The sequence below is a fragment of the Homo sapiens genome, chromosome 2 (genome assembly GCF_000001405.40).
Source record: "Homo sapiens chromosome 2, GRCh38.p14 Primary Assembly".
NCBI classification, from domain to species: Eukaryota; Metazoa; Chordata; class Mammalia; order Primates; family Hominidae; genus Homo; species Homo sapiens.
The window spans coordinates 144,478,597-144,491,077 of record NC_000002.12 but is presented as its reverse complement, the minus strand read 5'-3'; the positions used below and the strand labels follow the sequence as shown (position 1 = coordinate 144,491,077).

The 12,481-nt window shown below is 37.0% G+C and overlaps 1 protein-coding gene across 2 annotated transcripts in view, besides 1 other annotated feature; it reads left to right on the top strand.

The window, feature by feature from the left end:
• Positions 1 to 12,481, top strand: part of ZEB2 (zinc finger E-box binding homeobox 2) — a 136,039-nt gene that overhangs the window by 29,042 nt on the left and 94,516 nt on the right. The window lies entirely within an intron of this gene.
• Positions 11,389 to 12,101: an enhancer, noted in NCBI's record as "NANOG-H3K27ac hESC enhancer chr2:145236544-145237256 (GRCh37/hg19 assembly coordinates)". NCBI's record gives its function as "activates a minimal SCP1, AML or CMV promoter by ChIP-STARR-seq in naive H9 embryonic stem cells {active_cell/tissue: H9 hESC(naive)}" and the evidence as "EXISTENCE:reporter gene assay evidence [ECO:0000049][PMID:30033119]".

Sequence of the window (12,481 nt, the reverse complement as noted above, 5' to 3'; positions counted from 1 at the left end):
GCTTCTTCTGAGCTGTTCCGGTCTATCGTGTCAATGCGTACTCGGGGAGTCCTCAACGCACGGATCACTGACACGGCACTACATAACGGCTCCTTAGCAGCCATTATTGGGTATCAAGTCAATGCCTACTCAGGGAGGCTTTATCGCAGAGGCCTGCACGAGCAGACACATTCCGAATACTAAAATTCCTTAGGAAAATTAGTCATTGCCCATGTGTGATAGCTGTTTTCCATTTTGAATTTTAACCATTTTGGGAAAAGGAAGAGAATGGGAAATACCAGTATAGTCCGAAAAGCCCTTAAAAAATGAGTGCGAAAAGTGGAAGGGTGGAGTGGACATAGGAAGATGATGAACTTGTCATTTTTTCCTTTCCATAGCTTCATTTTATTGTGTCAAAGTTGCAGAAAGCACTTCACTTTCATCGAGGCTCTTTTTAGGCAGGGTACAGCCAAGAAAACTTTTTTATGGCTCAGATGTAAATCCTAGAAAACGTAGTAGAAATGATGGCAGGATCTCTAACTGTAAAATAACAGTAGTGTTAGTAGTAAGTGTCATTATAATAACGTTATAGAACTCTGCACATCAAAAATACCACATTTTATCATGATCTCTGCAAGAGATTTCTGTTGGTAGTCATTCTAGACTTCTAATAAATAATACGTTGAGTAGGAAAGGTTCTGTGAGGATCCAAATAATAATGAAAATGACAGTGGTGATATTAATAATAATAGTACAGCTCCCATTTATTGTATCATTATTATGTGGCAGGCATTTGTATACATTATCTCATTTAATTTTCTCAGCAGATGTGACAAATCAGGAAACTGTGGCTTAGCAAAGTTAAATAACTTGACTGATGTCATGCAACCACTAAGTGACAGTGGTGGGATTTGAACTATATCTGGGGAGAGTCATGCTCTTACCATTGCATTGCCTCTAATGATCATCACTTTCAGGGAACTAGGTGTTTAATTAGAATATCCCAACCCATTGTCTGCTTACTGATCAGGAAACTGAGGCAGGGTAATTTTAGTAATTCCCCCAAATAATAAAGAGAGTCAGAATGAATACCAGAAAGCAACAAGAGGCAAAAACAGCCTTTCTCTCTGACAACATGTTAACCACAAACAAGACATGGGAATTTCAGAGCCTCCGTTTGTGTTTCAGAAGGAATGTCCACTGTTGCCATCAGTCCTGAAAAGATTTCCTTGCACCAAATCAAAATGGTTCGAGTTTGCTGTTGTTGATATTTTTTTTCCTTTTGTGTTCTGCTTACTGACTGACATCTGCTATCATGCTAAGCAGGTGTTCCTATGTAAACGAACGTGCCCTGTTTGTGTTTCGCCATCCTCGCTGCTGCGCACCCAAATGAGCAGCGTGATTAAGAATCCTGTAAATTTTTGAAAGGAAACGGATGGCTACCCTACTAGAACATAATTACACCGTTCCAACATCCGCAGCTCACTGCTGCAGCAGAGTTGGAGAACAGCAGAAATTAATAATATATAATAGCATCATTCTAGTAATTTATAAATGAAATAAAGTAGAGAGGAGATTCTGCTGATATGCATTTTCTCCTTAATTCTAAAAGACAAAGTATAGATTAGAATTTTAGTGGGGTGAAACCTGGCCAGCAGTCTCCCACTAGTTGCCTGATTCATGATAGGAGTGTTTTTGCTTAGGGAAAAGAGCTAATATGTTTTATTAGGCCAGAGGAAAAAAAGAAAAAGAAACATGAATAAACAAGGCCCTCTAAAGGCAACACTAAATAAAGGGGGTCTGAAAAAATCTCTGTGGATTGTGTGCCCACTGTATTTAAAAAGATATTATTACTTTAAGACTTCAACATGTGCTGCATTTTTTCTTTCATTGTAATAACATACCACCATAGGTCACCCCTTCTGAGAAAAGAGGGACTGATCAGTTAAAGATGTGGCCCAACATAAACTTTATGTTAAATAGCACTCGTGTAAATTCTAGAGATCTGCTGAACAACAATACACCCATAGTTAGCAATAATAGAGTAGATTTCATCTTGTATGTTTTATCACAATAAAAAAGAACATTCATGCCTTTTTAAAAACATTATTTTGAGTACCCAGTATGTGCAAAGGAGCCTCTTATTACAAATCATCGTTAGATTAAGGGAGTTGATGCTTTTAGTCAACCATGCTGGAGAAAGAACAACACTTTCTAAAGAGGCAAATAAACTATATGTTAAAAGTAACCAGTCCATTTCTCTGTCTCATAGGGTTGTGGCAGGCACTTTAGAAACTTTAATGTTTTTCTAACTTCATTTACCGTAGGTAAGATGCCTAACAAATGGATGAGCTCAGTTGTTTCAAGAGTTTGTCTCCCATGAGCCAATGCCCATCACACACACACACACACACACACACACACACACTCACACACGAGCAATTATCCTTAAGAAAAATAATATTTATAGCACTTAAAGTGTTATTTAAGCAACTTTTCCTGCTTAATTCCAAAGAATGACAATACATCCAAAAAAAAAAGTCATGGATTTTCTTCCTTTAATTAAACTTAGAGAACATGAAAATACTGTTTGCCTTTCAAGAGAAGCATGTCCATTTAAGATGCTTATTCATTTAAGCAGTATTCATTTAAAGGTCCCCTTGAGTATTACTCTATGTGTTTTGATTTGGTTCAGAGAAAATAAATTCATTTAATAGATTTATTTCATTAACAGGTATTTATTTAAGTGGGTTCCACTGTATTTAAATCTCCAAACAGTTTCCATTACTTCCTTAGCTCACTTGCTCCATGTTGACTAATTTTAATAAGCCTAAGGTGCCTAGGGTCTTATTGAGTGTTCAGTTTGATCAATATGGTTAAATTAAAATTGTGCAAAATATAAGCAAATGTACTCTAACAACACAGTGAAAAATGTGCTGTGCACTAAGCATTGATTGGTATGCTGTGGACACAGATATATGAAGCTGGGTGGGCCTCTGAACTACCTGGAAACTGCCACTCTCCTCCAAAGCTCCCCTGGCTTTAGATACATCCATGTGATCTCCCACCCGTTCATGGAGACAGCAGCTCAGATACCCCCATTGAATTAGAAGGGGAAGGAGATTCATGTCAGGTGTTTTGCTTTTTGATTTAATGGAAAACAGCATGTAAGGCTCACAGTGAAATCCTATATAAAGAAAAAAAGCTAAGATTTTATAAAAGTTCAACTTTGAGTATTGCTGAAATGCTTTAGGTAATAAAGAATGCAGGCCCTAGTTCTTTTTCACAGAATAACTTTTTACCGTAATTATCCTTAAATTTTAATCATTTGGTAGCTTGAATTCTTTTTCAGAGATCTTACTTGTCAAGTTTGTTTTAGCAAATTACAAAAAAACAAAAACAAAAGCCAACCTGATTTTTAAAGTATACCAAAATCAGCTTTGCCATTGGTACTGCATTTGAAAACCTAGTAAGCTTTCTAACAAATTCATTGCTTTCTATATAATTGTAAAGTTAAATAGATAACTGAATATTTTTAGTGGATTCCTTTTAGTATGAATAAGTTTGTATCTTCTATTCCTAAATCAATTTCTTTACCTTTCCCTTTTTCTCTTCTTTTTTTCTCCTTTTTTGCCTGTTTTATGGCAAGCATACTTAATATTCAGTGTCAATCTTTTTAAGCTTTTCAAAAATCTACCACAATCACTTACCAATCATAAGTATATATCATTCAAAATTGTTCCTGATATGTGCTGGCTGTTGGGGCAGTTTCTTTTTCCTACCTGTTGTGTGCCTTTGTACCTATCTTTAATCTCTTCTTGCTAAGTGATAGCTACCATCACAACACTGGCTTTCCTTGATAGCATATCTTCCTGCATGTCCAAAACTTAAGTTCACATGAGCAGAAGTTGTTCTTATCAAAGGTAAATCAGAAGTTAAAAAAAAAAGCAGAGAGATAAAAACATCAAAAATGTACATCTTGCAAGCAATGATGTTGAATTTGGGAGAAGTGTGTTCTATTGAAATGAAAATCATTTTCTAGTTTAAACTGATCACGGAAGTTTATATGCATAATAAGGATTTGAAGTTTCCTATCAAATTAAGTACAGTGTTTGAGCTTCCTAACATTTAATAATACCATCACCAATACACCTGCAAAATAAAATAATGTTTGAGCCCCAAAATCATCAGAAATATGTAGACCAATACCAGTTCAGAAGAATTGACTTTATTTTTGTAATGGGGCCAAGAAAAATTCTTAGGTTTTTGTTTAGTTTTGTGCTTGTTAATCTTGATTTTTCCCAGTGTTTTGCATGTTTTGAGTTTTTAATATCAAAGGTACTGCTCTTTGTAAACAAGTGTAAGTTTACCCAGGCAGCTTCACTTACACCCTTCCCTTGTAATCAGATGTGAAAATTACACCCTCCCTTTTGGATACATGATAATTACACATTTCAACATGCAAAGAATTGTCTCTGTTTCAGTTGTTGGAATGAAAAAGCTGAGACATTTCAGTAAAATATATTATTATATTAAAGATCATTTCCATAATTGTTTTCGGGATTTGTAATCAAAACCATGATCAAGGTAGTCTTAGTTTTAAAAAGAATACACATGGAAATAAGGAGAGGATAAAATTAATTGCCGAGTTCCACTTGAATGACCATTCTTTTATTTTATGAAAATACAGTTAAGTACATTATATTCTTTCTTTAAAAAAAAAAAAAACCTTCTAGTACCTTATTTGACATTTTCTTTCTCCATGTTCGTTGAATTACCTATTTTTTCAGGTCGACCAAAAAAATGTAGAAATACACATTTTTGTGATCAAGGTGAAAAATTTAGTCAGAAGAGAGATATAAATACAATGAAGGAATCTTTTCAAGAAAAGATGTGTTTGTTTTTGTTTGCAAGAGTGCTTTTCAGCCAAATATAAAATTTTGTAAACTCAGGTAAGGCACCTCACACTTCACAATCAGACTTCTGGATTCATCTAGAGTATCACTCATATCATAGGTAAAAATATATGTCACTATTGGTATAAAATACACTGAAGCCTTAAAAATGCAGAGGTTTTGGCAAATAACACTAACTCAAAAATATCTTGTATATCCAAGGAGAGGGTTTAAAATCACCGATTCCTTTTTACTTTCTTAAGCTAAGAAGAAAAGGAAGAGAGAGGCCAGGCGCAGTGGCTCACACCTGTAATCCCAGCACTTTGGGAGGCCGAGACAGGTGGATTGCCTGAGGTCAGGAGTTGGAGACTAGTCTGGCCAACATGGTGAAACCCCGTATCTACTAAAAATACAAAAATTAGCCGGGCGTGGTGGCGAGTGCCTGTAATCCTAGCTACTTGGGAGGCTGAGGCAGGAGAACAGCTTGAACCCAGAGGCGAAGGTTGCAGTGAGCCGAGATCATGCCGTTGCACCCCAGCTCAGGTGACAGCGTGAGACTCTGATGCAAAAATAAATAAAGAAATAAAAGAAAAGGAAGAGAGAAGGCAGCATTAGATGGCTGATGTTATGGCTTCGTGAAACAGTTTATGGCATAAAGAAATAACTCCCCAACTCCTTAGTTTTCCAAGTATGTAAATGTTTCTGCTCATCCAAACACTAGCATAGGTAAGTGAGGACACATATTTCATCTAGCCCAAATATATTTTTTAAAAGAATCCCTGCAGATTTTTTGCTTCTATAAAAAATATCCCAACCCAAATTTCTAAAAATTTTGATTTTTGGAATTAAATGATAATACTAATTAGCATTTACCTATACATCCTTTTCTATTTTAAAATCATTGCATAATCTGGCATTTATATTTAATTTTCTAAATCATTTTCCCTAGAGAGCATTCATGTAATTTTAGAACTTGGAAGGAACCAGGATTTCAACTATACTCATCCACAGACTTTTCCCATTGGGTAGAAATTGAAACAGAACTGACAGAACCAGGATTTGAATACCAGCCTTTTGACTCCAAATCAGGGACAAGATGCAGTTTTGTATGTTAATTATTTTTATTGGTTTTGATATTGTGGCCCCAAGATCCATAGTCTTATTTTCATGCTAAGTGACTCTTTACTCTGAAGGGCCAGGTTATAATTGCCATGTATGCCAAGAGTGAAGGGACCCAGGACCAGAAAATTCAGTATGCCCGGGTGGTGAGTTTTTAGACTTATGGAGCTGCATGTTCTGAACTCCACGTTCTTTGGTTTTACTGCTCCTGTGTTTTTTGACAGTTGCTTTTTTTTTTCTTCATAATTTCTGTACAGGCTGGGCAGAGAGTTCAGGAAATGTTCCACCGTGTACTGACATTCCCCTGGCAATAAGTGGGTTCCCACTTCAGTCGCATTCCACTAAGCCTATTTTGGCACCATAGAGAGGGTGATGAGAGGGAAGAGTCAGTGGAGGAGAAGACAGGAAGGTTGCCAGGAAGGAATTGAAAGGCATATGCTCCTGGCCCCATTGCCTGTGTCTGCCTTCACCACCTTTAGCTTCACAAGCAGTGGCCATGGCAAATAGGAAAAGGTTTGGGTGGGAGAAATACAGAAGAAGCCATTCCTGATTAGGCCATGTGTCTTCCACTAGTTTCCATCAGAGTGGGCTGACCGATCTGTGAAGATCTGGGATCATGACTCAGTATAACAAGAAGAGTCCTACACATTTGATTCAGGAAATTTGGGCTCCTGGCCCACCCAGCCCTGCCTTCCAATCTCAGCATGGCCTTGGACACATCCTTAACCTCTCTGGGCCTCACATTCCTAATGATAAAATGCAGGGACTGGACAGAGATTGCAAACTGGTGGCTGACAGATGTTTGATTTGTCCCACACAGTATTTTAAACACATTTGAATTGGTTGCCAATATTTAAAAATTGGGCTATTTCACACACACACACACACACACACACACAAATCCAGATTTCCAGCTCCCCTGGAGAACTCAGATGATCTGGTGTTTCGGGCCCACATAGCTGCATGGAAAGACCATGTGGGAACAACTTTGAGTTCCGTAAGAAAAATCAATCAACTTCCCTCACCTGCTTGGCCTGTGTAGACATTTGAGTGTGGGACCCCAATTCTCTCCAAGACTCCTTTGAAGCTCTAGTTTTAGAATTCCAAATATGATTTGCTTGACCATAAGAAATATACTTAATCCATAGTGGTTTCTATATTCACGGCAGAATGCTAAGGTATTTGTTTATACAATCAGCATCAGGTAAAAGTTGGAACTATCTTAGGCCAAATAAATCAGCCCCATTTAGAACAAATGCTGACTTTGAAATTTGATAATGGGAGGCAGGAATAGTTCAGCAAAGATAGCCTTTGAGGTAGTTACAAGAAAGATGGTTTGGCTCCTGACTCACTATTACCTACACAGCGAACTGTGTATTTTGCAAATTATCCAAAAGTAGATTCTTTAAAACCCAAATCAAATAATACAAGGCCCTTCAGTTAACATTTTTTCACATCTCCCACTCTAAACTAACATCTTCATAAATATTGAGATCATGAACTTTTTCTGTTCATGTAATTGCAAACAAATTATATTGGCCTGGGAACTGTTTGATCTTCTTCAAAAGTAAAGGAACTACATTGATTTTAAAAGTTATATTTTTGTAAATCATGTTTCCAAATGTATCCACTTTAAACACAAAAGGTAACATTTGCGACTCATGGTTATAGAGTGTTTAATATTGTACAAGGTGCATTGACAAAAATATCTCATTTGATCTTTACAACAATTGTAGGAGCTAGACAGAGAAGACATTTAATACAAATGAGGAGTCTGAGACCCAGAAAAGTTGGATGACTATTGGAAAATTGACCTATTACTTGCTTAATGTGAAAAAGAGCCGGGATTCAAATCTACAGCTTTTGGCTCCATATTTAATGTTTTCCATGCCATCAGTATGCTTCCAGTGTCTTAGGGTATGTGTGTGTGTGTGTGTGTGTGTGTGTGTGTGTGTGTGTGTGTGTGTCTTACCTAAACACTGACTTTTTCTCTCTCTCTGTCATGAACAAGAATTGAGAGGTTAAATGGGAATTGTCTCATGAATTGTCTCAATGTTTTCTAAGTTGAATGAAGAATCTTTTTTGGTAGCTATTCTTAAGTGAATGCTGGATTTTTATTAAGGGAAGCTAACAGATATTTAAAAGCACCCTCCATATATAAAAGCACAATCCATGGAAGCATAGTGCAAGGAATAATGATATAGACAAATGGAGGAGGGGCAATAAAAAGTCATAAAACAGGCAGGTAGAGGTTTCTGGAAAAATAAGGTGGTGAGGGAAGAGTCTAACTGTAAAAGTAAAAAGGTAGAAGATAGAACCGTTGAAAAAAAAAAGAAATATCAGAAATATAAAGAGAAATAAACAGCAAGAAGACTCCGTAGTAATTTAAGAAGTGAAAACTTTTAGGACAGAGGTAGGAGAGAAATGGGAAACACTGGAGAGGAAGTAACAACTAGGAAGTGTGGAAGAAAAACCTGCAGGCCAGAAATCTGAGCAAAGACTTGAGAGAGGATGATGGTAAATGTGAAACATTGAAAGGGATGTTTTAAGGGATTCAGACATTGAGAGGAAAGTAAATTTTCATCACAACACCCCATGACGACAGGCTCAACACATTTGGATTATGAGAAAGGAAATTAACATGGTTAGAACGAAAGAATAAAAATTAGTAAGAGAAATCTTTGGATGTCAATGGAGAGGAGGAGAAATGATATTAAAAGGAAAGAAGGCATGGGTGGAAAGTAGAATGAGATGAGAACCTATGGTAGGTGGAGGTGAAAAATGAAATGCGTCAGGGAAGATCATGACTGGGACCGCCGCACACTGCAGTGATGAAGACGGAGAAGCTATTCTTCAGGGAACCTGCAAATAAAAAGAAACCTTAAGATGTATTTGGAGGGAACCCACCCCAGCAAGGTGAGAAAGCAAGAGGTTACATTCTGCAAAAAGAGAAAATGAACGGGGAGAAGGGGGAAAACTAGGGGAAAGAGAAAACAGCAAATCAAAGTTATGGAGCGTACAGCATTGAAAGGAATGAGGCATTCTGTTGGAATTATTCATTTAAGCATATGGGTATTGGCGTCCCTTTTCTAAAACCGGATCCTCTCCCTTATTTCTCATTTTTCTATAACACTATTATAATAAATTCACATGGAAAAGTACAAGGATGAGCAATTTTTTACTTTAGAAATGTTTCAAAAGGGGAGGTAAACTTGATGGTTATCTGTCTGAAGGGTGACGCACTATAGTGGCATGTGAGAATGAGGCCAGAGGTAATCATCAGTTTTGAAATTGTTCTTTCAACAAATTCATAATGCATATAAAGTAACTCGTGCACACATTTATGGCAAAACATACTCTAGATATTAATTTATATTGCTTATACTGAAGATCTCTTGAGTTTTCAAAAAGTTTGATTTACAGATTTTTCACATCAAAAATTTTTTGTAGATTCTATTTTGTAATTAAGATGTGTAGACTCCTCAATAATTCTTTACCTTGATGCTGTGTATACTCATTTATCTAGATTAAAATACTTCCTTGCCCTGAATGTTCTAAAAGTGTACCCCTTGGGGCTCTAGAATTTAGAAGTCTCCCTTCCCCAACTATTTCTAGTCTACCTTTTCAATTGAGTTAATATAATGGCTTTAGAAATACAATTTCCATGTTGCTATAAAAATGGGGTTAAAAGTCATAACAGGCACAAGAAACAGGAGGAAATGAGAATTGTGTACTTTCAGTCACACCCGGGCCATGTGCTCGGGCCACATACAGCATGCAGCCCTCCGGAGTGGGCTGTGTAACCCGGGGCACACTTGAGGTCAGGGCACATAGAGGATTAATTTACTGAAGGTGGTAGACAATCCCTCTGCCACAAATGCAAACATTTTTTCATAAGCGCCTGAAGCAATTAGTTCTCTTCAATAATAAATTTAATCTTTTCCTCCTTCCTTTCTTTCCTCTTCGTTTCTCCTCTTTCTTCTCTTTTCCTCTATAAATGCTGGCCTTTGTCTAAGATCTTCAACTCAAAGGTGTAGATGCCAGGAAAGAAAAACAAAATCAATGTATTGTGGTACTAACAAATAATGCTATAATTATTAGAAAAAAACAGATTGAAGCAAGATACAAAAATTCTCAAAAGCAGCTATCTGTATGAAAATCTTTTCTACTTCTAGAGAGTATGTGAATGACTGTATCTTTCATATCGTGAAAGCAGATGCTTACATGCAATCACCTTTAAAAAAAGAAACAAACTATCACAGTAGTGACATTGCCTATTTTATATGAGTAGGGAAACTAGCCAAATAGCTTTGGGAACATTTATTAGCCTTGTCCTTTTTTTTCTTTTTTTTTTTTTTAACTTTTAGTATAGAGAGAAAATAGAGATGACAGGTAGGTGGCTAAGTAAGGTGACAGGATGGCAGACAGCATTCCTATCAGGGCAGAAAGAATTTATAAGGGAGCTGCCACTTATAGCGTAATAGAGCTAAGTTAAGAATTGCAAACAGAGTAGGGCCAAGCAACATTTTAAGAACAATTGTCCTTAAACATTCTTGTAATGCTAAGTCACTCATCTTTGTTTCCCACTTGCTTCCTAGAGTTAAGAAAAGTTCTTTCCTAACTTGGGTTGCTATGCAGAGATGTGAAATTTCATTGGCTCCAAATGCTTTTCTGTCTAGTAGGGACTACTGGGAACCCTGCTAATGTGCATATTGATGTACCCTGTAGCTTCACAGATGATGAAAGAGCATATTACTTATTTCCACAACAACAAAGCTAAGAGAAATTTGAAAGGAGCCAGTTATTTTACCTGGGGAATTTCTCCCAGGTGATGGGGCTATGGAACCATGGAATTTAAATATGGGGGCCGTCCTATTTTCTAAAAAGTTTTTATGGGGAGCCATAATATCACTCCCAAGCAGAAATCAAATCAAATAAAAGACTATTGCTTTCATTTGCATTTATTTAGTCAACTATGCCTAAAATACGGAAAAGATATTATCATGCTCATTCAGAGTGTATTTTATTCGTTGTTTACTAGACTGGACTGACATGATATGATTTGTGCTTTGCGGGGTCACAACAAGCTACTAGCAGGACAATTTGCTGAATCAAGAGGATGATTGTGTCTGGTGCCAGTCAGTCGCAATTAGGACCAGGATCAGGGAGGCCCGGGGCTTGTGCATCGTCTTGGGCAAGCTGCATAGAAATCAGCTCACCTGAAACTAATTGTCACAACAGAGACCTTATGCAAATGAGCCCTGGGGTTAGCGTGGGAAAAGAAAAACTGTCGCAAAGATAGGTGACCTGCTGAGCAGGGGGTCTGTTGCTGGGGAAATCTTTGTTCAATGAGTTTAAAAATGTTTTCATTGTTCAAAGTCCACCCCCCGCCCCCCCCCCCAAAAAAAAGTAGCATACACACTCACTAAGAGTATGGCAAACACACTCATCTAAAATTCCAATAAAGCAGAAGCCTGCTTTGGAGCATGCCATAAATTGGGAGTCTTTATAAGGGCTACAGCAGGAGAATAATTTCCCTTTGCAAGGGCCTTTAAAGTTTAGGTGCTGCGGATTGCAGTGTGGCCTACCTTGAAAATTCACTTGCAAGGTCAAGCCTATTGCTAGCCTGGCAGGACCCGCACAGCCTTTTCTCCCTGCATTCCAGCAGGCCACCTCCACACAGCCGTGAGGGGTGCCTGTGAACTAGACAAGAAAGGCCTAGTTTCTAATTGAGCTTTACTGGTATCTCAGGTAGAAGAGAAGGGCCAGGAGCACTCTCTTAACACATGGCAAAAGAATCCGGGGAAACAATGGCAGTTTCTTGAATTGTGGTTTCTCAAATACTCACAAGTTCAAATGAAATGCAAGCATTGTGAAATTCCAGGAATGGTAATGCAGCCCAAGTGGTAATAGATCATAAAAATTTAGCAAAAGAAAAGTAAAAATTATTTTTAAACTATGATTTACTTTGTTTTTCAATCCCTGACAAAAACACGTATAAGTTGGAAATGACGTTTGATTTTATTGTAGCACTCATTTGGAATAATCTTTAATATGTTTTACTTTAGAAAACCAGATGAAGAAAAGTTATTCAAAGGTAATGATAAACATTTTTATACGTTACTGTAGCAAAGTTGCCTTTGGGTTCTTCAATTGATTTTTAGCTTTTCAATCTTGTTTTCATAAAAACATGGGCTAACATATTGATACTTCTTAGCTTTACACTAAAGATTTCCCAGTGACATAGTAGATAATGTATATTCACACAGGAGTATAAATATAATATCAAGGAAATGAAATAGAGTGTTCTAAGCTTTAGCAGTAACAGAGAGCATAGATATTTTGCATCTAATGATTTCAAAGAAAGAATAATTTGAATTTAAAAATGTAGGTGAGAGAAAAAGAAAGTTTCATTGCATTGGCGTTGAATACAAATGCTATTTTGTTTGGCAAATTACTGGACCTAAGAAAGTGTTTTCATTGTGTTT